The sequence below is a fragment of the Homo sapiens genome, chromosome 11 (assembly GCF_000001405.40).
Source record: "Homo sapiens chromosome 11, GRCh38.p14 Primary Assembly".
In the NCBI taxonomy this organism is placed as follows: Eukaryota; Metazoa; Chordata; class Mammalia; order Primates; family Hominidae; genus Homo; species Homo sapiens.
The window spans coordinates 95,872,780-95,900,621 of record NC_000011.10 but is presented as its reverse complement, the minus strand read 5'-3'; the positions used below and the strand labels follow the sequence as shown (position 1 = coordinate 95,900,621).

The 27,842-nt window shown below is 36.7% G+C and overlaps 1 protein-coding gene across 23 annotated transcripts in view; it reads left to right on the top strand.

The window, feature by feature from the left end:
- MTMR2 (myotubularin related protein 2) overlaps nt 1-27,842 on the top strand; it is a 91,228-nt gene that overhangs the window by 23,486 nt on the left and 39,900 nt on the right. For 13 of the 23 annotated variants that reach the window (NM_001440649.1, NM_001440647.1, NM_001440651.1 and 10 more), the window contains one exon: nt 12,361-12,466. The exons of 1 other annotated variant lie outside the window; for it this stretch is intronic. In NM_001440649.1, the coding sequence (NP_001427578.1) occupies nt 12,361-12,466 (106 nt within the window). Of the gene's footprint in view, nt 1-12,360; nt 12,467-12,937; nt 13,011-13,248; nt 13,297-18,125; nt 18,249-27,842 lie in introns of all 23 variants that reach the window. 9 more of the 23 variants (NM_001440643.1, NM_001440639.1, NM_001440634.1 and 6 more) reach the window with 4 other exon arrangements.

The following is a 27,842-nucleotide window of genomic DNA, read 5'->3' as shown; positions in this document are numbered from 1 at the left end:
CTACAAAAGGAAGGAAGGGTGCGTTTGGATATAGGTAAGTTTATTGAAGGAAGGGCAAGAAGTTGAGGCAGTCCGTGCCTCCATACCTTAACTTTTTCATTCATGTCAAATAAGTATTTCTAAAACATTATAGAGACTGTGTTGACATTGTAATTAATTTATCATTTTATTAATCAGTCCAATGGACTTTTCTCTCATTTCCCTTGACTGCTCTGTAGTATTAGGTAGTGTTAACTACTTATTTTGAATAGTTGCATTTGCTAAGTATTAAATCTTGTTTTATATCTTGTCCCTGGGCTACATAATTCCATTTTATGGATTTGATTTAGCTGTCACCTAGCTGTAACCTCTCCATAGAATGTTAAAGCTGTATTTCTGCTTGCTTAATGAATATATCCACTTTGATGTTTTGCAAGAACCTCAAGTTCAATGTTCAATGATATCAAAATCTATTGAATTATTTCCACATACCACATCCTAGCCAAACCTGCTCGCTCTTCTATATTTTCTATCTTTGTCATTATGTGGCCTCGTTCCGTTGTCTATTCAGTGATCTTACTGCTCTAATACAATAACTTATTAACTGACCTAAGTTCCTCTAGAATTTTTTTCCCAGTGGATGCTCCATAACCTGAGCAGAATGTCTCTGCACATAGAACTATTTGACACTTCTACTCAGAAATGTTTGATGGCTTCCCATTGTCCTCAGAACATAATCTGGATTTTTAGCATGGTATCGAGGTTTATTCACGGAACATAGCTTGAACCTTTCTTGCCTCCACAAAGCCCAGTTACATAGGTTTCCCCAAATGATCTATTTATTTAAGCTGTTCTCTGTCTGGAATGTTTTTACTCTTTTGCTTTACCATCAAATCCTACTAACAAGTCACTGGCCAGCAAATATGACATCTTTCAAGCTTGCCTCAGCTTTTCCCAGTCATATTTAGTCCTTTCCTCCTCTGCGCTCCTGTAGTTTTTTTTTTTTAACCATTCTTATAGCATTCATCACAATCAGATTCATAGACAGTTAAAAAGGAGTCTATCTCTCCCATGAGGCTATAATTGGGGAGCATATATAACATTGTTGTATCACACTTATATCTTCATAGAACACTCATATCACACTGATAAGCAGTAAATCAACATTGCCTGAATGAATGAATGAATGAACAAATATATGATCAAGTAAAATCTAAAATCCTTTGGCCTTGCTACCACCTCAGTCTTAAAAAATTTCAAGACAGAAAGCAGCAGCTTCTCAAACGACCTGTTTTCTTCTTTACTGTCTAATTTGGCACACTGATTTTTCAGTCAGCAAGACTGGGGATCATATTTTGAGTCTTCCTTCTCCCTTGTTTTCAGGTCAAGTCAGCTGCTAAATTCTATTCTGTTTCCAAAGTGTCCCATATGTCCACTCCTATTTTATTTTTATTGCTAGTTTAGGCTCTCAGTACCACTGACTGGAAAAGATCTCCTAATAGTCTTGTAACAGATTTTCCTTCTCTTGTAATCTATTCTTCGACTTATTGTTAAAAGTCTTCCTAAAGTACAGAAACTTTCAGAGGTCTCTCATTGCTTACAGAAATATCAACTTATTATTCAGCACTTTCTACTCTGTAATCCAAACCTGCCTTTTCAGGCTTATCTCTAACTGCATTATAAGTACGCTGTATGCCAATAAAAGTGATCTGCCTTCTCCAGTTGCTTTAACATGTCTTGAATTTCCTACTTTGTCCTTTTTCATGCTGTTCCTTTGCTTAGTGAAATTGTTGAGAGTATTGAACCTCTTTAGAATCTTCTGGCCAACTTCAAATGCCACCTCTTTCATAAAAGCCTTTCTCGAGCCTCTAAATTAAAACTTTATATGAACTTTTCATATACAGCATTGTTAGGTGGTCTCTCTCCCCAATATTATTGTGGATATATTTGGAAATGTTAGACATTTGAAATAGAATCACTACTTAGCTACATAGGTATAGTTTCTGGTAAAATCACATAATATAAACAACACCCAAGGGCTCTGTTTCTCCAAACCCCAGGGATTTGTTTCTCTTTCTCACACCCATTTATCATGTTCTGTTTGTGTGTTTTTTTGTGTGTGTGTGTTTGTAGAGACAGCGTCTCACTGTTGCTGTGCTTGTGTTAAAGTATACTAGTGAAAGTTCACCAACAACAGCAAGGGTCATATTTATCTCTGTATTTCTAGGGGTTCCTAGATGAGTAGTATCTTACATATTGTAGGCACTAAAAAAGGCATTGGTTAAACTGAGAAATGGGATAACCAAAATAATATGCTGCTGAAGGGAGATGATCATGTATAGAATCAGAACTAAGAAAAAAACTTTTTTTTTTTTTTTTTAAAAACCAACCAGGCCATTAGTAATTATAGAAAGAACAATTTCAGGGCATCACTTGATAGTGGCAGAAGCTAGATTCCAAGAGATTAAGCAGTAAGTGGGCATTGAGAAATGGAGGCAATGATGATAGACACATAAGAATGGAATACGGTCTGCAGATTTGGGAAGAGACTTGTGAACAAAAACCATATGTAGTATTTGAAAGAAAAAGGAGTTTGCTGTCAGAAATGCAAGTACCAAGATTACTCCAAAGTGTTTCCATTTTTTCAAGTTGGCAGAAAAGTACTCCAAGTGAGTCAGGCAGGCCACTGAAGCGAATAACCAGCTCTAGTGTGCCGAGGTCACAAAGTTAGAGTAAGTTTGTGAATCACAGACTAAGAAGACTTGTAAACGTAACCTTGTTGAACGCTGGCAAAGGTGATGTCCTGGAGTCAATAGAGTTTACGTTAGTCTGGTCCAGTTTAGTCTGATTAAATCATTTAGAGAGAAGAGTTACTGAACCAACCGTGTATGTATTGTTAGGAGGTCTCTCTCTCTTAAATTATTGTGGATATATTTTGAAATGTAGGACATTTGAAATAGAATCACTACTTAGCTAAATAGGTGTAGTTTCTGATAAAATCACATGATATAAATGAAAATATTTAAAGGAATTGTGGCTAATATTTGTTGATAGATGTCATTTCTATTTGTAAGTAAGGGTGTTGAATTTGCACAGTGATAGTCCAGAGCTCCTGAAATATATGTAGTTGTTGGATTTAATTTCCCTTTGACTCCATTGTACATAAATATTCTCTTAAAGACTTTATTGTAAGAAACACAATATCGGATTAATTCTATTTAGTCTTTGTGTCTTTATATTTAAGACTGTGATTACATAATTAAAATACTAAAAAATTTCAAATATGAAGCTATTTTAGCACACATGCATGTGTGCATCGTGTGTGTATAAAAAATTTATTTTAATTTTTTAGTATTTATCTGTATATTGTGTGGATGTTACAAAAGGCAGAATACTCATTTCAGAAGCCCTGGACCACTTTAGAACTAAAAGAGATCATCGGGGCCAAGATTCTTAACCTTTAAGTCCCTAACATTGTAAGCACTTCAGGAAATAGCTCTCATGGGATTTTCAAAGAGGTCTATGACCACCAAAAAAGTTAATCACCAACAGTCTAATTGGTACTTTTCACAGAGTGACAGTGTAATGGGGAGTGGGAATTAAGTGACTTGGCCAAGGATACTGCTGTTAGCTAGATAGGACTAATCCTGGTTTCTCAATTCCCAACTACTTCTTTAACCATCCCAGTGAAAATAACATAGTCAAAAACCAGTTCCCACTAGTTTTTTTTTTTTTTTTTTAAAGATTGTCATTCTTTTAAGACAACCTCTTAAAAGAAATGTTTGTCTCAGTATTCCAGGAAGTCTTTTGATGGGAATGGGACATGATATATGGTATACAGAATAATATGCACACAATAACAACTCCAGAAGGAAAACTAGACTTCCACCTTCCCTACCCATGTTTTATCCCTCTCCCTCCTTTCACAGATTTCTTTTTTGTTTTATCTTGCATGTTCTAGTGATGGCCTCTGATGCATTTAATTAGAATAATTCAATCTTCTGATCATTCTCATTCAGTCTTTCACTCCTTAACAAATATTTCCTGAGTGTCTACTTTATACCAAGTGCTATGCTAGGTCCTAGGAGTAGAATGTTGAGCAAAACCAACAGGATCCCTTCTCCTTGAAGTTTGATGTCTTAGGAAGCGTAGTCATTAATCAAGACAGGCATGGTGTCTTGCATCTGTAATTCTAGCTTCTTGGGAGCCTGAGCGGGGAGGATCACTTGAGTCCAAGAATTTGAGGCTGCACAGAGCTATGATTGCACTGTTGCACTCCAGCCTGGGTGACAGAGGAAGACCCTGCCTCAAAAAAAAAAACCAAAAAAACAAAAAAAAATCATTAATCAAACATTTGCAAAGATACGTAAGAAGAGACTGGTTGTAAGTGAAAAGAATGAAAAGCACAAAGTGCTATGAGAGTGGCTATGGGAGCACTGGTTTTGTCTGGGGCATCTGATTGGATTTTCCCAAGGAGGTGATATTTCAGTTGAGAGGAGTTTGGCAGAACCATGCTCCCTGCAGAGGGGCTAGCTAATTTCAGAATCTCAAAGAAGGCTAGTGTGGTTGAACTGGGGAGAGCAAGGGGAGAGGGAGATACAAAGAGGAACTGGAGAAGGAGGCAAGGATTAGATTATGTAGCAACTTGAGGCTGTGGTAAGGTATTGATCTTTATCTTGAGAGCAGTAGGGAGCCACTGAAGGATTTTAAGAAGGGGAATGACATGGGTTGTTTCCACTTTTTGGCTATTGTGAATAATGCTGCTATGAACATTCATGTACATATTCATGTACATTCATGTGTTTTTAATATATATTTTGTTTTTCTCTGGTAAATAATCGTGGGTTTTTTTGTGTGTGGAAAAATATTTTCATTTCTCTTGGGTTTATTTTTAGGAGTAGAATTGCTGGGTCATAGGGTAATTGTGTGTTTCACCTTTTAAGGAACTACCAGACTGTCTTCCAAAGTGGCTATACCATTTTACATTCCCACAAGCAGTGCCTGAGTGTTCTGATTATTCCACATCTTTGCCAACACCTGCTATTGTCTGTTTTTAAAAAAATTTTATTATAGACAGTATAGTGTGAGTGAAGTGATATCTCATTGTATGCCCCTTGCCTTTTATTAGCCAGGCTTTTAAGCCTGGCATTTAGATTTCAGCAAATTACAGCCTTTTATCTGTTTAGTTTGAATAAACTACTTATTTACAAAATATGCCTTGTAGTTTCTCAAGCCCTTTATTTTTACTTTTTTTCCCTTTGTGTGTGTGTGATTTCCAAAGCCTTGATCTGATTCATTCACTCATTAAAGGCCCAACCTCAGTGTCTTCTGTTTCCTTCATTAGCACATGGAGCCATCTGAAATAGTTGATATTTGGCCATCTGACCTATAAAAACAGCAATTTCAAATGGTTCAACTTAATACATTTCTTGGCTTCCTCTAGTCATAACTATTACCATTTCCTTCGGGTTTTTTTTTTTTTCTCCTGGCCCTTGTTTGTACCTCTCATGGTATTATTGATATGCTTGTGTGGTATAATGTCTCTTATTGGTCAGAAATCTGAAGTGCAGAGGCTGTTTCATAACCCAATGTTTTGTATATAGAAAGGGCGTGGTAATAAAATTTTTTTGCAGGAAGAAAAGAACATGAAAATTGTTTCTTCATGAAATTATCTTGTATAATTGGAGTGTCTGTCAGTGGGAGTAAACAGTTTTGGGAAATGTAATGTAGAAAACAGTAACAGGCAAAAGGAGCATTCGATTTTTACTCATATTTTCTCAGAGAAAAGTTATTATTGGTGATGTAATCATGTACCCTCTTCCCTTGGTACTGTCTTCTTCTTTTTAGTCCTTTTTAGGACTTAAGAGTTTTCTTTATGTAGAAGAAAAGTAATTTTAAGCAGTCAATTTCAAATTGGAGTTCTTTTTCTTCAAAATTTCAAGAAACTCTTTTGAAAACTTTAATCTTCTATGATAGTTTCACTTTTAAACTGCATTTGCAATGCCAAGACACATGCTTCCATAGTGGGAATAATATTTATTTTTCTAATACTTCAAACATAATGCCATCCACGAGACGTAAGTTCTTATTTTGTAAACATTAGGCCACTAATTATAGTTCTTGCCTTCGAACTTTTGCCGTTATAATTTTATTTATGTAACTAACCTGACTTGAGGGATAATATGTGTACAGTAACACTCAGTTGTCATAAATAATAATAGCTACATATGCCACGTATTCTTCTTTCAGTGTTTTACGTGTTTTATTTTGAGAAGGTTGTTTGCTCACAGAAGATTGTAGTAAAGAAAGAATCTTGAAATAGTAAATAATAACTATGTGGGGAGAGGAGCTTTTAGGTGAGTAAATGCAATATAATGTTACAGGTATTATGATAGAAATATGTACAGTGTACAGTAAAAGAAGCAGTAGGTATGTCTACAAGATAGATGGGACAAAGAGGGCATGGAAGATTATAAAGGACATTAGAGGCAGATACAATAGGGTTATCAAAGGCACAGAGGCATGAAATGGCTACAGAACTTAAGAAATCTGCAAGCCATTCCCAGTGGTTCCAGATGAGTAAAAACTACAGCTGGATATGTAGAACAAGGGCCAGATCGTGGAAAACTGAGTGTTATGCTGAGGGGTTTTGGCTTGATTCTGTAGGCAGTGAGGAATCAATGAAGATTTAAGCAAGGGATTGATATGATCAGATTTAGGTTTTGGAAAGATCACTTTGGTTTTGGTTTGGGATGATATATTGGATGAGTAGGAGAAAAGAGACAAGTTATTTGCACTAGTCCAGAGAAGTGGTGTTAGGATGGTAAAAAGTAGGATAGAGAGAAGATATACCCAAGGGATGGTAGGGAAGTAGACTGTACAGGACTTTGGATAGATTGGATGTGATAGCTGTGTGGGAGAAGAGGATGGTTATGGTTTAAAAAAGTCACTTGGGGAATGGGAGAATCATTGAGCACTGTGTTGGGCCTAGCTGATGTTTCTAATCGTAAGTCCTAAGTGGCCCCAGTTTGAAGATTTCCTTCACTAGTAGCCAAGAAAGATGGTTATGTTGGTCCACATTTAGGGATTAGCAGGACAGTCGTGGCTAATGGATACGGATATAAGGACACTGATGGTTAGGAAGGGAAGCGAAGTGGGCAAAGGAGAGCAATGAATCATGAAGGATAATAAAAAATGGAGGGGTTGAGGGTCTGGGTGTCTCTACTAGGTTGAAGATGAGATGAAGGGAAAGTTAAGAAAGTTAAATATTTAGAAAGGGTTGGCATCTAGTCAAAGATTAATTTCCTCAAGTTTAAGATTATAGTGGCAGGGTAATTCCCAGAAGTGATAAAGTCCAAGGTGTAATGACAAGATGCACATTGCTGAAGTGGGAATGTGTATGAGGTTATGTAGGAATTGAGGAATTTTGAGCTAGGTTGTTGACAGTTTATCTTTATGGATAATAAAATTCCCATAATGATGGCAGCTTTGGAGTAGAAAGAAATGCTAGAGAGGAAAGTGAGCCAGATGAGAAAACCCTTAGTGAGTGAGGAGGATGGGTGGGTGGATGATAGTAACAAGGAGGTTGTATACTGAAAAGCCATAAACCTTAGAGGAAGAAGGTTTTTATATGTGAAGATGCAAAACTAATAGTAATGTAGAAGCCTGAGAGTTCAGCTGGGAAAATGCTTGTTTCATCTTTGGGCGTTGTTACATGTGGGAAAAGAAAAGAGTCTCTTATTAAAGTCTGCAGGGAAGTGGATTCCTGTGAGGAGAGGTTAGTTGAGGCAGAGGTGAAGGGGAGAATCCTGTTGAAGATGTAGGGGAGTTTATTCACTGTGGACTAAAACATTCAGATAAAGATTAGGAAGAGAATTAGTAGTTGAAGAAAGGCTTGGACAGAGAAAAGTGGGTGTAGGAAACACAAAGTAATATGGTAATGAACATATGCGACAGAGTGTTGACTAGAAGTTTTAGCATTTGGAACAAAGGCCCAGGTTGACAAGGAAAACAGGAATGTTTGGATGGACTGAGATGAAGTATATAGGCCTAGGAAATCTGGGGACCAAAATGGTATCGGTTACTTAATGAGGTTAGAGACTGCAGTTTCTACTTCAAGTTCAAATGCCTTGCTAATTACAAGATTCTTATTATTTGGAGTTTGTAATTTTAAAAAGAGGTGGCCATGTAACTGAAGTTCTCTAGTCTAATGTGGGAAGTGTTAAGTGCAGTTATAGACAAAGTCTATGAAAGTGTAGAAGACTGAGAGTTTAGTTCCAACTGGAAGACCTTCTTGGAACACTCCAAGACTTCTTGGAGAAGTTAGTTTTTTAAACCAGGTCTTAAAGGGTAGGTAGGATGTTATTAAATAGATTAGGGTAAAGGAACATTCTATTTTGGAAAGGCCTGAAGCAGAGGCATGAATTTTGGGAAATACAGAGCTTGTTTGTGGAACAGTTCATAAAAAATAAACATAGAGAGCTTGACTTCAAGATGAGCAAGGGAGAAATGGAAAAAAAGCAGTGGAAATTAGCGTGTGTTATACCAGTAGCCATGGTGACTACAAGCATGCACAGAGCCAGTATGACAGAAGAACACAAACAACTACAGAAAAGAGAACTATGCATCCTACTGTGCCCACGGCCACCTTCAGTCTGAGTAGCTGCTAAAGGCAGCACTTTACGTTTATACCAGAAGTTTTAACAGTTCTGCTGCACCTGCATGCTTACTTGCTCTCTCATGCTCTCTCTGTCTCCCTCTCTCCCTCTATCCTGTGCACTCTCTCTCCCTCCCTCTCTCCCCCTTTCTCTCTCTCTGTGTGTGTGTGTGTTTCTGCCGTAATCACAAGAACAGTACTATGATGTATTCCCACACTGTACCCCTCCAGTTCAATATTTGCCTGGAGAGTAAAACCCTTTGTAGACTGGTTATACAGAAATATACATTAGTGCTTATTAAACTATAACACTGTGGATCATAATATCTACCTATGTTTATGTGTGTCTGAAGAGAAGTTAATAATTAAAGGCTGTTTACCACACTTTTGCTAGAAAGACTGATTCTTTGAATCTGAGACTGCAAAGTATAAGTTGCAGTACCTGGATTTGTTATTTTCTCTCTCTTAGATTTATTTACTTTATACTTGGGCTCTAAAGAGCCATTTGGTTTCTTTCTTTCTTTCTTTTTTTTTTTTGGTGAGAGTCTTGCTCTGTTGCCCAGGCTGGAGTGCAGTGGTATGATCTCAGCTCACTGCAACCTCTACCTGCCAGGTTCAAATGATTCTCATGCTTCAGCCTCCCGAGTAGCTGGGACTACAGGCATGTGCCACCACTCCTGGCTAATTTTTGTATTTTTAGTAGAGAGGGAGTTTCACCATGTTGCCCAGGCTGGTTTTGAACTCCTGGGCTGAAGTGATCCACCCTCCTTGGCCTTCCAAAGTGCTGGGATTACAGGCGTGAGCCACTACACCCAACCAGAGAGCTGTTTGGTTTCTTGGTGCTACATGCTACAATAGTCTGTCAATATTATTTTTCTAGATAATACACTCTCCATAATTTCAAGTTATATTCAATTGCCTTTAAGAGTTTTTCTCCCAGAAGGGCATAGGCGTATAAAATAGCATTATACATTTGAACTTGCCCCAGATAGACTTTATGAGATGTTGATTGCTATATTGTGTTTGACTGTCTAGAACAGACTCTATTACAGTGATTTAAAAAATTTAAGTTCATTTATTTTATTTAAAAAATTTTAATTTTATTTAATTTTTCGAGATGAGTTCTTGGCATGTTGCCCAGGCTGGTCTCAAACTCCTGGGCTCAAGTGATCCTTCTGCTTCAGCCTCTTGAGCATCTTGGACTACAGGCACACACAGCTGTGCTCACCCATTTATGTTACATAACAAGAATTCCAGAGGTAGAGAGTTGTTGGCTCAGTGATGCTACAAGAACCTATGCTCATCCTATTCTTTGGCTCCTTGTCCTCAGCAGGCCAGCACATTGCTAATGTTTATAAGATGGCTCTTGTATTTTCAAACTTTATATTCTTATTTTAGGCAAGAGAAATGGGAAAGGACAAAGACTACCCTGCTGTTTCTGCTCCCCTTTATTGAGAAAATAAAAGGTTTCTATAGCCATTAGCAGATTTCCCACTAAATCCCACTGACTGGAATTGACTCACGTGGCTCTCCTAGCCACAAGGAAGAGAATAGCAAGCCTCTTGTCTTCGGCAGGGCACAAACTACCCTGATCAAAGTTAGGGAGAAAGGGGAATCTATTTGAAGGAGGGAGCTAACAATGTCTGTCAAAGTACTGTGCTTAAAATTTGGTTATTTTGCCTGTTATTTTAAGGCAAATGACATTTAATCAGAATTTAGATACAAAAAAAAGGAAAACATCACAGCCTATCACTTTTTCTTTCCTTACATTATAAAACTATGTAATATAATTTCTTATGACTGCTTTTTTGTATAATAGTATAGGTTGTTGGAAATACTATGTTGTGTTTGCACTGGAATGCCACTTTTCATTCATTTAAATGAAGTGACAATTTCTTTTTTGGGGAGGTGATTTTCACATTGTATAAGTAATTTAGTTATTCTTGTTATAGGCAGGTTTGTAATGAATAAATGGGATTCATTTTAAAGCTAAATGGTTCTTAATATTATCACAACTCAAAGGTGAAGTATTTCATCAAAACCTAGTGAAAAAAATTTTGCATTCTGGTATAAGGAAGACTTTTAATATGTTTTAGAAAAATACATTTTTGAAAATCTGAACTTTAACACCCAATTCAAAGTATTTGAGGTTTTTCTACCATTGATCTTACCTTAAATAATTTTAACTTTGTTTTACTGATAAGAGGAAATGATATCAGTTATTCAATTTGTGGCATATTGTCACAGATTTTTAAATTTAACAAACATAATACATGTTAACAGTGTACACAGGTCCTGAAGTAGATTTTGTGGAAAATAAAAAAGAAGTGGGCTTGAGCACGGTAGCCCATGCATGAAATCCCGACACTTTGGGAGGCTGAGTGAGAGGATCGTTTGAGGCCAGGAGTTTGAGGAGAACAGCCTGGATAACATAGTGAGACCTCATTTCTCCCCCGCCCCCCTCCCCCCCCAAAAAAGACATAATTTTTGTTCTTGGGGCACTAGTTGGTGAGACAAAATAAACAATAAAAGCGTGATCAGGTATCGAAAGTTTGGCCAGGCGCAGTGGCTCACACCTGTAATCCCAGCACTTTGGGAGGCCGAAGCGGGCACATCAGTTGAGGTCAGGAGTTCAAGACCAGCCTGGCCAACATGGTGAAACCTCGTCTCTACAAAAATACAAAAATTAGCCAGGTATGGGGGCAGGTGCCTGTAATCCCAGCTACTCAGGCGTCTGAGACAGGAGAATCGCTTGAACCTGGGAGGCGGAGGTTGCAGTGACCGGAGATCGCACCATTGCACTCCAGCCTGGGTGACAAGAGTGAAACTCTGTCTCAGAAAAAAAAAAAAAAAGTTCTATAGGAATTTAAGAAAGTAAAAGTAACTGTAGAGTGATTACTTATAATGGAAGAAGTAGATACTTCAGGCAGGGTTGTTTGATGTGGTGGGAGGGTACAAGGTACAAAGAACTTCTCTTTCCATCCTCATCTGCTCTTTTATCCATTCACCCTTATTCAACTATTTGTAGTATCTGAGATGTTCTGTAGACTTTGATACTTCTATACCTTTGCATTGCCTTTTGTTTGTTCTTGAAATTTCCTTGTTTGTTGGTCTGATAATCTCCTATCTTTTGAGACTCAGTTTGAATATCATCTCCTCTGAGAAGTCTTCCCTGAACTTTCTGGCCAGAATTGGCTGCTTCCTTTTCTTTTCTCCCATAGATATTTGTATGTATGTGGGGTGTTTGTGTGTGTGTGTGTGTGTGTATGTGTGTGTGTATGTGTTTCTATTTAGAGTCATAACACTGCACCACTTTATTTACTTGTCTGTGTCACAGGCTTGTGAGCTTCATGAACATGGGGATGATGTCATATTTATTTTCAAATCACAGTGCCTGGTGTAGTGGTTTTGTACATTGGACCACTCAGTGAATGTTCTTTGGATGAATGAATGGATGGGTGAATGGATAAAAAGAAGGAATTAGCCTGGAGTGTCTTCATGAGTATTGGGAGTCTATCCAGAGGGAACTTGGATCATAAGAATACTTGACCCAGCAGGAATAGTTTGTAATTTGTTAAGACTTAGAGATAAGATTGAATAGGCAAAGCAGAACTTAGTTGGCTGTGGAAATTTTAATAAATATTGGAGTTATATTAAATACAATGTCTGAAATTGGTCTTTGAAGCCCCCATTTTTCCAACATACTGTACTTTTGTATTTTGTAGTGCCTCCACTTCTCATTCAGAGAATTCAGTGCATACAAAATCAGCTTCTGTTGTATCATCAGATTCCATTTCAACTTCTGCCGACAACTTTTCTCCTGATTTGAGGGTATGTATACTATTTTAAAGTTCTGATGAAGTACTTTCTGTTAAATATTTGTGGCCAACACTATCAATATAACTAATTTAGCAGGAGATACTGATGGAGTATTCTCATAGATCCCGGTCTACAAAATATCCCAGAATAGGCCAGCAAATTTGGAATGCTTACTTATTTGTAAAAGAAAAATGTGTAATTCATCTCTGAGGTTGATCACCTCTAAGTTCTTTGCCAAAAGATGATTAATGAATTTTTTGTGGTATAAAAGATTTTTATGATTATTCTCATAATAACCAGTAATAGCTAACATTTATTGAATATGTACTGTGTGCCAAGCGTTGTTCTAAGTGCTATACATGAATTATCTCTTGTAAAACTCTGACCAATTCTGTCACCATTCTACAGATGATAATAACTTGTAGAGATTAAGTAATATGTCCAAGATCTCATAGCTAATAAATTCTATTGCCGGTGTTCCAGCCCATGCAGTCCAGTTCGGGAGCTAAGTCACTTAAACACTGTGTGATAGTTCCTACACATCTCATTATAGTTTGTAAGTATTCCTCTATTTATTAAAGGTCTCATTTCTATGAAATTAACCACATTAGTGATATCCTGTAGCACTCTGTACATTTCTGGATTTATCTACTTTTCTATAACTGCTTGTCTATGAATGATTGAGAAAATGAATTATATGTGTAGTGCTAACCCTTTAACTTTACTTCATAATCGTTTTTTTTTTCTCCAAAAAACACGAAACAATAAACATTTATTTCTCATGGTTCTGGAAGCTGGGAAGTCCAAGATCAAGGTGCTGGCAAATCCATTATCTGATGAGGGTATGTCTTCTTGTATCCTCACCTGATGGACAGTATGTCAGAATCTTTTTATTCCAAACATGTGGCTGCTTTCTCACTGGTTACACTTACACAATTTTAGCTAAAACATTGTTTTCCTTAAGGAAGTCATTTGCTGTTGAGCATAAGTTGAGGATACTTATATCTTTTTCATCCATTTCATTGTCAAAACAGAATTCAACAAGAAGACAACATCTGTAAAATCTTCTGCATATTTGTCATTACCTTTTGTGAAATTTCATAAAATATTAGATTGGGAGTAGCATGATTTTAAACATCACTAAAAATTAGAAAGGCTTATCTTCGTAATCTGCATATATCTTATGCTAATTATGAAAACTTCATGCTATCATTAGCCATTATCTTGAAGCATACAAAGGGCAGGGTTCATTGTTAACAAGAATGGTTATAAATCCATTGTTGCTTCTCAAGTTGTTACTATTTTAAAATATATGTATGTATCTAATGTTTGCTTATTCATTACATTAATAAAAATCCACTAAGGGCTCATAGGCTTCTTAATAATTTTGAAATGTCTTGGCATACTTCTGGTCAGATTTATTTAGTTAAAAGTATCATTAAATAACAACTAACCTCATATTGTGACTGATAACTCAGGAATGAAGGGATGTCACTTATGCTACTTGCTTATGCCTATATCCTACCTGCTGTTTCCTGTCTGAGACATTTTAAATCATTTGTGTATACTTGTGAGTATTAGTTTAAACTACTTAACTCGACATACATGTGAAGTGCAGTACACTGCAGGATGCTGAAAATGGATAGATGAAGGAGGATTCTCCACTGTCAACTTCTCTCTGCATGCAGACCTCCATCATTTCCTCAGGACACCATGAATATCATAAATAGTGAATGACTGGCTTACATTTGGACAAAATGAGGGCCATAGTGCATAATGTTAATCTGTATATAAAATATTTTAAGGTTTGCTACTTTTTCTTAAACTTTTAATTTTAGAACAGTTTTAGATTCTTAGAAAAATTGCAAAGATAATAGAGTTCCCATCTACTTTACATCCAGTTCCACCCATTATAACATCTTACATTAGTAAGCTACATTTGTTCCACATAATGAACCAATACTGATACGTTATTATTAAAGTCCACACTTTATTGAGATATCCTTAGTTTTTACCTAATGTTCTTTTTGTTCCAGGATCCTACCCATGCAGGATGCCACATTACATTTAGTAGTTATGTCTCCTTAGGTTTCTCTTGGCTGGGACAGTTTCTCAGACTTTTTTGTTTTTGATGACTGTGTCAGACTGTATCTTGTTTTTGATGACTTGATGGTATTTTATAGACCATGTGACATTTTACTCATTCAACTGGGGTTATGTGTTTTGGGGAGGAAGGTCACAGAGGTAAAGTGAGTGCCATTTCATCACATTTTATTAAGAGTACTTACTATCAACATGACTTATCACTGCTGATGATAACCTTGATCACTTGGTTGAGGCGGTGTTAGGTTTTTTCACTGTAATTATTCCCTGAGCCCCTCCCCCACCCACATACTGTACTTTTTGGAAAGAAGTTGCTATGCACAGCCCACACTTAAGGAGTAGGGGGTTATACTCTACCTCCTTGAGGGTGGAACATCTAACAAGATGTTTTGAATTCTGCATGGGAGATTTGTTTCTCCCATTTATTGATTTGTTTAATCTTTTATTTATCTTATTATGGACTCATGGATATTTATTTTATACTTTTTGTTACAATCCAGAACGACTTTATTGATTCCAGCTTCAAATTGAGAGTTCTTTCAGTCAGATCTTTTGTTCCTTTGCTATGCTCTCGTCATTGTGTTTTTTGAGCACTTGCTTACTTTCTGGCACGACAAGATGCTCCAGACTCATAATATATATTTCCTCCCTCAGTTCTAGAATCATCATCCAGTTTTCATAGGAGCCCTGGTTCCTTTTTTTGGAAAACAATAGCTAGCCACTAGGTGTGTTTAGTTGTTATTTTTTTTACAAAAGAAAAAGTAACAAAGCCTTTTCCTTCTGAAGCAAAAGATCATTTTGCAAATGTACAATCTGGAGATAATACGATGGGTAGGGTGATTATAAATGCAAATTTGTCTAGAATAGTTGTCCCTTCAGGTTTAACGTTAGACGTAAGTGTCCTGAATTACATGACTACCTTAGCACTAGGTTACAAAGGGAGTCTGTCAAATTTATACATCAGCTCTGTTTGCAGGAATTGTTTCAATGTATCCCCATTAGTGCCTTACTAATTTAGGATCTTTAACAACTTAGGAAGACCCTCACAGAATTTTTATTTGCTGAATAAGCAGATAGCTGTTAGATCAAGGAGAAGATGGTTTTAGGCAACAAAGGTTAACTGTTCTTTCCCTAGGAGAGTGCCTAAAAGGGCAGAGAAAAAAAAGAAAAGTAGTATGTTGTTAAGCTACATGTTACCCAGTTTTCTCATTTTTAAAGGTATCTTTAGTTGTTAGATATATCTTTACTTGAATTACAGTCTTCAGTTGCTGGAGGGAGATGAGTGAGTAACACTAAATTAAGTGTTAGTATCATTTAAAAAATCTGGCCTGATTTCAAAGGTATATGTGGATTTCTTTTGTGGGGAAGGTTGTGGTGGGAGAAGGGATGTGCTTCTAACAATTAAAAAAAGTCTAGCCTGCTATTATGATAGATATTCGTACATGACTCATCTCTTTTAGCTTTCTCAACAATCCTGTGATCCAGTTGTTATTATTCCCATTTGACAAATGAGAAACCTGACAGTCAGAAAGGGTGAATGAAATCATGTGCTTAGTGGCACAGTTGGCTGTTACCCTTATTTTGTCTCAGGTCATTCATACTCTTGTAGGATACATTACTAGGAGAGACTCCTCCCACAGTTTTGCTGCTAAACTTTTTTAAATGCTAAGTGAGATTTTCTTAGTTAATAAGGAATATATTTTATACATTTTGGGGGATGAAAATAGTGGGTTTCAATATTTCTTAATAAATCTTTGAGAAATGCTTTGCTAAGTAACCAGAAAAGGAGAGTTTTATAATAAAATTTGATTTCCTCTCTCAATTTTTTAAATTGATGATGATTGCTTTTCATGTGTATACCTTTAGCAGCCATAAAATGGTAGTGTTTTAATTACAGGCAAAACTAACTGCAGACAGCGACGTGTTGCATTTTGACTGACTGTGGTTTGGCTCTTATGTGTGTGATGAAGGGTTTGGTGTAGTGTTTTTGAAAATTATCATTCACAGATGATTTGAAGCTGGTTAACCTCTAGGCTTCCAGTTCTTCACATAGCCTCATTGCTTATTTGTGTCCTGAGCCTTCACATTTTATAAGCTCCTTTAGTAATAGCTTTTAAATAGAAAGTGTAGAGAACATAATACATTGAAAAGCTAATCCAGTTTCATTAAAAAGGTTAAATTGTGTAGGTTTTTTGCTATAGGTACTGTAAAATGGCACTTTCCTGAAAGGATAGTGCCTTAGTAGATTAACAGCTAACTATGAAAGCTTTTTCTGTTAAGAATTTTGTATTCAAACAAGATTTGTTGCCTCTGCATCAGTAAAGCAGAATGGAAAATGGGCTGGGGATGGAACTAGTCTAGATATATCTTGAACTTTGATTTTTCAAGTGGAATTATATTTGTATTACTTTTTTGCCTTGTTATCCTTGTTTGTTATGGAAAAAGTCTTATACAGATGTAATCTGGTAGATGTGTTTTGGAAAAATTGGGCACGAATCCAGGCTTTGTAAATGGAATTGTGCTTTTCTGGTGACATAATTGTAGAGTGTTTTCTCCTTGCTTCATTTGTTCTCCCTCTGGAAGTAAAACTTATTTAATCTCAGTTTTAAAACTTAAAAATGTAGTATTCTTTTACATAGAATTTCAAGTAATGCAATTTAAAGAAATAACTCATTTGCAATTTTTAAAATTAGGCTTGTTTTTACTAAAACATATTTCTGAAGTTGGCAACTTAGTAGAATTAAGAACCCAGGGAACTTATGTCTGATTATTTATTTGCTCACTGGAGAATAAATCCCACAAAATATAGGATTTTAAAATTCAAATGCACAGCTCTACTTATTTATAAGTTATAATTTGTATAGCACTGGGTTTTAATTAAAGTATGTGCCTCAAATGATGGTTATTGAAAGATAAAAGTCAAGCTATGTAGTAGTTCCTTTCCTTTGTGAAGCCTGTTGTTTTATACCAATGTTTGTCAACAATTCAGAATTAAATATTAAATAGACTTATGTCTTTTGGCCGGGCGCGGTGGATCACGCCTGTAATCCCAGCACTTTGGGAGGCCGAGATGGGCGGATCACGAGGTCAGGAGATCGAGACCATCCTGGCTAACACGGTGAAACCCCGTCTCTCTAAAAATACAAAAAAAAAAAAAAAAAAAAAAAAAAAAAAATTAGCTGGATGTGGTGGCGGGCGCCTGTAGTCCCAGCTACTCGGGAGGCTGAGGCAGGAAAATGGCGTGAACCCGGGAGGCGGAGCTGGCAGTGAGCCAAGATCGTGCCACTGCACTCCAGCCTGGGCGACAGAGTGAGACTCTGTCTCAAAAAAAAAAAAAAACAACACAAAATAATTATGTCTTTTATGTCTTTGTTTTAGATATCTTATGTACATGTATATGATAAAGGATATGTTTTGTTCTTAACCATCTGTCTTGTCTTGAAGTATGTAATAGGCTTAAATCAGGCAAACGTGTCTGTCTTCAAAATCTGTGTTATGCATATTTCCTTTGCAAACTAAAGGCCAGAAATTATTTTATTTTATTTTATTTTATTTTATTTTATTTTAGAGGGAGTCTCGCTCTATCCCCTAGGCTGGAGTGCATTGGCGCCATCTCGGCTCATTTGCAACCTCTGTCTCCCGGGTTCAAGCGATTCTCCTGCCTCAGCTTCCCGAGGAGCTGGGATTACAGGTGCGTGCCACCACGCCTGGCTAATTTTTTGTATTTTTAGTAGAGACGGGGTTTCACCGTGTTAGCCAGGATGACCTTGATCTTCTGATCTCATGATCCGCCCACCTCGGCCCCCCCGAGAGTGTTGGGATTACAGGCGTGAGCCACCGCGCCTGGCCAATTGGATTATTAGACTATGTCCATGAATGTGATATTGACATGTACTGAAAATATGCAGATCTATTTAGAATGAGTTAAGGAGTCTCATAGAGCTTATGTTAGATAGTAAACAGTGTCTATCACATAATGATTATTTTAATAGAGAAGAAATGATTATTAGCATTTATTTATGATTAGCACCACGACCTCCCTTACCAACAATATCAACTCTTAAGAACCTAGGAATTGAAAAAAATCAACCTTAGCCCGATAAAGGGTATCCATCAGAACTCTACAATAAGCCTCATACTTAATGATGAAATACTAGAAATACGTTCATTAAGCTTAGAAACATGATGATTACTATCGCTACTTTTATTCAGCATTATGCTGGAAACCCTAGCCAGTAAAATAAGAAAAATAATAAATGATACAAGAAATGAAAGGAATAAACAAAACTTTCATTATTTATAGAGGATTGTCTGTATGGGAAATCTGAGAAAATCTATATACAAACTACCAGAACTAATTGTATAGCTTACCACTGTTGCCGGATACAAGATAACATAAAAAGATCATGCTTTTGTACCTTAGCAAAAATGTTTAGAAAATGTGATTTAAAGAAGATCCCAGTTACAACAGCAACAAAAGTACCTTACTTAGGAATAAGTTAAAACGAGATATAGAAGAACTTTATGAAGAAAGTTATAAAACTTTATTAAAGAAGCTAAAAGGATATCTAAATAAATGGATGGGTAAATCAATAGTCTGGAGGTGTAAAATATTTTCAAATATATCTGTTAATTGAATATAATTCCAAAAAAATTCAAAAGTTTGTTTTGCAGAACTTGGCAAAATTTTAGCTGACTCTAAAATTTATATGCAAGGGTAAAAGGTCAAGATTAACCCAGAGGAAAAATAAAGTGGGGAGATTCACCCAATCAGGCATAAGCTAAAGTAAATCAGAATAGGAATAAATCAGTCAAGTTTAGAAACAGACTGATGTTTGTAGGAACTCTGTATATGACAGATGTATAACAAATCAGTGGGAGAAAGAATGAACTATTTGGTAATCAATGCTAGGTTGGCCATGTTTAAAAAAAAAAAGGTTGAATTTCTAACTCACACACACCAACTGGATTCATTAGATTGAAAACCTAAAACTGAAAATAAGAACTTTAAAATTTTAGAAGAAAATATATGACAATATCATTATGACTTACGATATCAGGAAGAATATTTAAAATAAGACTCTAAGGTATTAACTTTTAAAGAAAAGATTATTATTTTGATTGTGCTAAAATTTACCAACTTTATGTGACAAATTCCGTATGTGAAGACTGTGAAAAGACAGGTCACATTTTGGGATAGTAGACTTGCAAAGAATATGTGTAACTGATAAAAGATTAGTACCCAAATATGCAAAGAACATCTACAAATTAATAAGAGAAAATGCAACCCAACAGAAAGTTGAGAAAGTCTATGAACAAGAAATTCAAGGAAAAATATATACATAATGTTTAACCAATATATTTTAAAATGTTAAACCTCACTATAATCAGGGAATCAGGGATATGTCATTTTTAAAGCAACTGAGAAAACTTATTTCACATTCATCAGATCAAAACAATTAACAAGTCTGATAATACCAAGGATTGTTTGAAAAGTGGGGCAGTGGGAATTCTCATACAGTGCTGAAACAGCCACAGTAGAGAGAAATATAGCAATATCTACAAATGCTCATTCTTCTTAGCAGTTCCAGTTTTACTAATGTAGAAAGTCCCACATTTATTCCAGGAGACTGGAATAAAGATCTTAATTGTACATTATTTGTGTACGTGATAAATGTACATCATTTGATCATTAATAAATTGTGGTATATTCTATGACAGAATGGTATCTATCTAGCTAAGTAAATTTCAATAAACAAAACATACTATATATTGATTATAGACATATATGCAGTTGAGAAAATACAAGCTCCTCCTAAAACACACGAGTAATGTATTGAGTATCTTACAGTTTCTCTCTTGCTTCACCACATCACCAAAGGCCTGTTTACCTCAGTTCTTTTTACCTAGTACCTTTTACATGTCTGACTTCCAAGAAAAAATTACAAGGCACACTAAAAGGCAAAATTTATATATAAGAATTATAGCTTTCTATTATAAAAATACTTATAAAATATAAGAGAAAAATTCTATAATAACTAAAAATGTAAAATATCTAGGAATAAACTTAAATATGCAGAAAATATGTGAAGAAACTTTAAAACTCTGCTGAGTGGTAAAGATGAATACTTAAACAGAAAAACATACCTTGATTTGAACAGAAAAGCTCAGTATTTTTAAGATTTTAATTTTTGCTTATTCTATAAATAATATGGTTAAAATTTGACAAGATAATCCTGAAGTTTGTAATGACAAGTCTGGAGACAATATAAATGCCTTTCAGTGGGGAGGATGATTTTAAGTTTATTTATATGTTTACTATTGAATATGTGCAGTCTGAAATGAATGGTGCATCTCCATTTGTTTTTCAAGATAGATTAAAAATCCAAGGACAGAAGAACATTGTGAATAATAAGCTCCCATTTGTTGGCGATAGTAGGTGGAGTGATAGAAGAGGCTGTGGGTACATAAACAGGTGATACTAGTCAAGAGCAGGTCAAATGGAAAGAATGAAGACATGTTTGGAGGCTACTGGAATAATTCCAAGTAAAAGTTGCTAAAGGACATGTACTAGGATAATGACATAATGCTTTGTAAAAAACAAATCTGAAAAAATTATAGGTGAATGTAATGTACACAAAGCTATCTGAACATTGCAGATTATGGGAAGAGAGGAGTCAAAGATGATGATTCCAGGTTTCAAATCTGGTGACAATATGTGGTTCATTTCTCATCTGCCCTCCCCTCCTATGTGTACTTTGCTGTTCCTTCTCTTATAAGTGGGGTAATGCTAAAGTTTTCTTCATCCCTTGCTTTCCCCACTCTCTTTCTTCCACATTCTCTTTCTTCTTCGTGGTTTCAGCTGTCATCTCTTTTTGGATGACTCCCACATTTTTACCTCTGGTTCTGATCTCTTTCTCAGCCTCTGGTCCTTCATATCCCTTGCTTGCTTGGGATGTTATCATGTTATGATCATGGTCTTAGTGTAATCAGACATCTGTTCAATTCCAGCCACTGTTGGGAGATATATGTCACCTTGGAAAAGTTCCTTAACTTCTATAAGGGTCAATGACCCCATTTATAAATGGGCATATGAATACTACTTATCTTTCAAGGGTGTTAAGAGCACTGAATGAATAATGATCTTCTAAAAACAGTACATAAACTGGGCTCATTCTCCTTGGTATGAGGTGAAATGAAAGAAATTTAGATAATATTATATCTATTCACCTATCTTCTGTCTTTCTTGTTTTTGGCATATAATCTATTATGAACCATCATTTATTGGAAAGGACTGTCTGAAGTATAGCTCAGAAGGACACATCAGAAGGTGTGGGGCTCGTCCTTATGGATGGAGAAGTGGGGCTATATTGGTGTGGGGAATGAAAGGATGAGACAGGACAAAATGTAGAAATAGATTAAATATGAGAGTCAAGGAAGCATTAAATTATGACTTAGCTGATATATAGAATAATATGTTACCCTTTAGAGATACAGGATTTTTTGTAGAAGTTTTTGCAGAAAAGTGAAGGAATTGATATTTATTACGTTGACTGTACCTTGTGTGGTGCATTTGTTGCAACTGATGAAACGATACTGATACATTTTTATATTAATACTAAAATACATAGTTTGCATTAGGGTTCATACTTTGTGGTGTACATTCTGCGGGTTTTGACGAAGGTATGGTGGCATATATTCATTGTTACTGTATCATGTAGAATAGTTTTAGTGCCCTAAAAATCCCCTTTGCGTCACCTCTTTCATTTTCCCCTCTCCCTGAACACCAGGCAATCACTAATCTTTTTCTGTGTCCACATTTTTGCCTTTTCCAGAATGTCATGTAGTTAGAATCATCTAGTGTGCGGTCTTTTCAGAGTGGCTTCTTTCACTTAGTAATATCCTTTTAAGATTCCTCAAGTCTTTCCATGGCTTGATAGCTAATTTCTTTTTATTACTGAATGATATTCCTTTGTATGACGTACCACAATTCATTTATCCATTCTCCTGCTGAAGGTCAGATTGCTTCTAAGTTTTCATAGTTATGAAAACTTGTATTTTAAGATTAAAATCTGGAAGTTTTTATTGATATTAGGCATTCGTTTCTTAGGGCTGCTATAATAACAGAGTACCACAAACTGGGTAGCTTAAAACAACAGAAATTTATTCTTTCATAGTTCTGGAGCCTAGACATCAGAAATCAAGGTGTTAGCAGGGTTGGCACCTGCCAACCAAGAGAGCTTTGAGGGAGAATCTATTCCATACCTTTCTCCTAGCTGCTCATGAGGGTTAGCCATCTTTGATGTTCCTTGGATTGTAAATGCATCAGTCCAATCTCTGCTTCCCTCTTCATGGGGCATTCTCCCTGTTTCTTCACATTGCTGTCTTCTTGTGAGGATACCAGTCATATTGAATTAGGGGCCCACCCTACACCAGTATGACCTCATCTTAACTAATTATATCTGCAACAACCCTATTTCCAAATTAGGTCACATTCTAAGGCACTGGTGGTTAGACTTCAACAACGTTATTAGAGGGCACAGTTCAACCCATAGCATGAAGTGATGCTTTCTAGACCATTCTTCTTTAGATAGTCATCCTTTTTGTTATTGTTGAATCATGGATGGTGATGTAACGTTTTCCAGCTTTGGCTAGTTGTGGTTTCAGCTGAAAAACCAAAATGTCCCTGACTGTGTTATATAAAAAAAAAAAAAAAAAAAAAAAAAAAAAAAGGGCTTCCCTGTGCTTGATCTTGAATGTACTTTGAAATGTGTAACCACTAAGATCTATCCCAGATGCCAGTCTGTGGCTCTACCTTGTTAGAATTTTTGTTTGCATGGTTCATTTGGCCACTTCGTGGCTTGTCAGTCAAGTTGTAGAGAAAATAGAATAAAGTATAATTGATATAAACAGTTTTCTTTAGAAGGATTATCCAACAAAAAATAAGTTACTAAGAAAATCCTTTTTTTCTCTTCTGGGTTTTAGTACAGTATGTAAAAAGACTGTGGAGGATAGTTTATAACTGTATAGACTCATTTTTCCCTTTCAGGTGATTATTATTTAGTGTTTTGCAGATTTCAGACAAATTCTTTCCTATTTTTCTACCATCTAACCATTCCATGTGAAAACTGACTTAAACTTGCCAACTTCTAGATCGAGTTTATAGTAATTTCCTAATTGTGTGTGTGTGAGAGAGTGCATTTTTGTGTTTGTGTGCCTGTGTGTGTGAGAAAGAGAGAGGGAGAGAAGAGAAAGGGAGGGAGTGAAAAAAGAAGTTAAAGTCACATGGAAAATTACTGGGCAGTTTGAAAATAATTTGATGAAGTGGGCATGGAAGAAAATCAGGGCTGGGAAGGGAGGAATACTAAACTGATTATGTAGTAGGAATAAAAAAAATTATAAATTTGAATCTTGTGTGTTTTGAAGTAAGAGTTTTAATAAGATTATCAGACTTTTCTTGATAATAAAAGGATTAAATATTGTATTAAATGCTATCAAATAGCACATTTTATGGAATCTTACCTATTGATGTGGCCAGAGCTCCAGAGTCAGGCAGGGTTCTGATGCATCTCATAGAAAACAGGTTGGCTAGCCAGTTAGTAACATTATTTTGACCCAATAAGAGAAAGTGCTTGATGTATTCTAGAGGATTTCTCCAGGAGTGAATTTTCTTCCCTCATATCTGAGGGTTATGTAACTTATTCTCCACTAAAGATATTTACATGTGAAGGCAGAAAAACCTAATGGACCAGAGTGGCTTTGGTCTCTTGGTTCCCAACCACCATTTTAAGAAGATAGGTTCGGAAGCTCAAACTGGGTGGAGCCCACCGCAGCTCAAGGAGGCCTGCCTGCCTCTGAAGACTCCACCTCTGGGGGCAGGGCATAGCCAAACAAAAGGCAGCAGAAACCTCTGCAGACTTAAATGTCCCTGTCTGACAGCTTTGAAGAGAGTAGTGGTTCTCCCAGCACGCAGCTGGAGATCTGAGAATGGACAAACTGCCTCCTCAAGTGGGTCTCTGACCCCAGAGTAGCCTAACTGGGAGGCATCCCCCAGTAGGGGCAGACTGACACCTCACATGGCCGGGTACTTCTCTGAGACAAAACTTCCAGAGGAACGATCAGGCAGCAACATTTGCTGTTCACCAATATCTACTGTTCTGCAGACTCCGCTGCTGATACCCAGGCAAAGAGGGTCTAGAGTGGACCTCCAGCAAACTCCAACAGACCTGCAGCTGAGGGTCCTGACTGTTAGAAGGAAAACTAACAAACAGAAAGGACATCCACACCAAAACCCCATCTGTATGTCACCATCATCAAAGACCAAAGGTAGATAAAACCACAAAGATGGGGAAAAAACAGAGCAGAAAAACTGGAAACTCTAAAAGTCAGAAGAGCACCTCTCCTCCTCCAGAGGAACGCAGCTCCTCACCAACAACGGAACGAAGCTGGACAGAGAATGACTTTGACGAGTTGAGAGAAGAAGGCTTCAGACGATCAAACTACTCTGAGCTAAAGGAGGAACTTCAAACCCATGGCAAAGAAGTTAAAAACCTTGAAAAAAAAATTAGACGAATGGCTAACTAGAATAACCAATGCAGTGAAGTCCTGAAAGGACCTGATGGAGCTGAAAACCGTGGCATGAGAACTACGTGACGAATGCACAAGCCTCAGTAGCTGATTCGATCAACTGGAATAAAGGGTATCAGTGATGGAAGATCAAATGAATGAAATGAAGCGAGAAGAGAAGTTTAGAGAAAAAAGAATGAAAAGAAATGAACAAAGCCTCCAAGAAATATGGGACTATGTGAAAAGACCAAATCTATGTCTGATTGGTGTACCTGAAAGTGACGGGGAGAATGGAACCAAGTTGGAAAACATTCTGCAGGATATTATCCAGGAGAACTTCCCCAATCTAGCAAGGCAGGCCAACATTCAAATTCAGGAAATACAGAGAATGCCACAAAGATACTCCTCGAGAAGAGCAACTCCAAGACACGTAATTGTCAGATTCACCAAAGTTGAAATGAAGGAAAAAATGTTAAGGGCAGCCAGAGAGAAAGGTCAGGTTATCCACAAAGGGAAGCCCATCAGACTAACAGCTGATCTCTCGGCAGAAACTCTACAAGCCAGAAGAGAGTGGGGGCCAATATTCAACATTCTTAAAGAAAAGAATTTTCAACCCAGAATTTCATATCCAGCCAAACTAAGCTCCATAAGTGAAGGAGAAATAAAATCCTTTACAGACAAGCAAATGCTGAGAGATTTTTGTCACCGCCAGGCCTGCCCTACAAGCGCTCCTGAAGGAAACACTAAACAGGGAAAGGAACAACTGGTACCAGCCACTGCAAAAACATGCCAAATTGTAAAGACCATTGAGGCTAGGAAGAAAAAGCATCAACTAACGAGCAAAATAACCAGCTAACATCATAATGACAGGATCAAATTCACACATAACAATATTAAGCTTAAATGTAAACAGGCTAAATGCTCCAATTAAAAGACACAGACTGGCAAATTGGATAAAGAGTCAAGACCCATCAGTGTGCTGTATTCAGGAAACCCATCTCACGTGCAGAGACACACATAGGCTCAAAATAAAGGGATGGAGGAAGATCTACCAAGCAAATGGAAAACAAAAAAAGGCAGGGGTTGCAATCCTAGTCTCTGATAAAACAGACTTTAAACCAACAAAGATCAAAAGACACAAAGAGGCCATTACATAATGGTAAAGGGATCAATTCAACAAGAAGAGCTAACTATCCTAAATATATATGCACCTAATACAGGAGCACCCAGATTCATAAAGCAAGTCCTTAGAGACCTACAAAGAGACTCAGACTCCCACACAATAATAATGGGAGACTTTAACACCCCACTGTCAATATTAGACAGATCAGTGAGACAGAAAGTTAACAAGGATATCCAGGAATTGAACTCAGCTCTGCACCAAGCAGACCTAATAGACATCTACAGAACTCTCCACCCCAAATCAACAGAATATACATTCTTTTCAGCACCACACCACACTTGTTCCAAAACTGACCACATAGTTGGAAGTAAAGCACTCCTCAGCAAATGTAAAACAAGAGAAATTATAACAAACTGTCTCTCAGACCACAGTGCAATCAAACTAGAACTCAGGATTAAGAAACTCACTCAAAACCACTCAACTACATGGAAACTGAACAACCTGCTCCTGAATGACTATTGGGTACATAACAAAATGAAGGCAGAAATAAAGATGTTCTTTGAAACCAATGAGAACAAAGACACAACATACCAGAATCTCTGGGACACATTCAAAGCAGTGTGTAGAGGGAAATTTATAGCACTAAATGCCCACAAGAGAAAGTGGAAAGATCTAAAATTGACACCCTAACATCACAATTAAAAGAACTAGAGAAGCAAGAGCAAACATTCAAAAGCTAGCAGAAGGCAAGAAGTAACTAAGATCAGAGCAGAACTGAAGGAGATAGAGACACAAAAAACCCTTCAAAAAATCAGTGAATCCAGGAGCTGGTTTTTTGAAAAGATCAAAATTGGTAGACCGCTAGAACAAAGAAGAAAAGAGAGAAGAATCAAATAGATGCAATAAAAAATGATAAAGGGAAGATCACCACCGATCCCACAGAAATACAAACTACCATCAGAGAATACTATAAACACCTCTATGCAAATAAACTAGAAAATCTAGAAGAAATGGATAAATTCCTCGACACATACACTCTCCCAAGGCTAAACCAGGAAGAAGTTGAATCCCTGAATAGACCAATAACAGGCTCTGAAATTGAGGCAATAATTAATAGCTTACCAACCAAAAAAAGTCCAGGACCAGATGGATTCACAGCCCAGAAGTACAAGGAGGAACTGGTACCATTCCTTCTGAAACTATTCCAATCAATAGAAAAAGAGGGACTCCTCCCTAACTCATTTGATGAGGCCAGCATCATCCTGATACCAAAACCTGGCAGAGACACAACAAAAAAAGAGAATTTTAGACCAGTATTCCTGATGAACATTGATGCAAAAATCCTCAATAAAATACTGGCAAACCGAATCCAGCAGCACATCAAAAAGCTTATCCACCATGATCAAGTGGGATGTACATCCCTGGGATGTAAGGCTGGTTCAACATACACAAATCAATAAACGTAATCCAGCATATAAACAGAATCAATGACAAAAACCACATGATTATCTCAATGGATGCAGAAAAGGCCTTTGACAAAATTCAACAACGCTTCATGCTAAAAACTCTCAATACATTAGGTATTGATGGGACGTA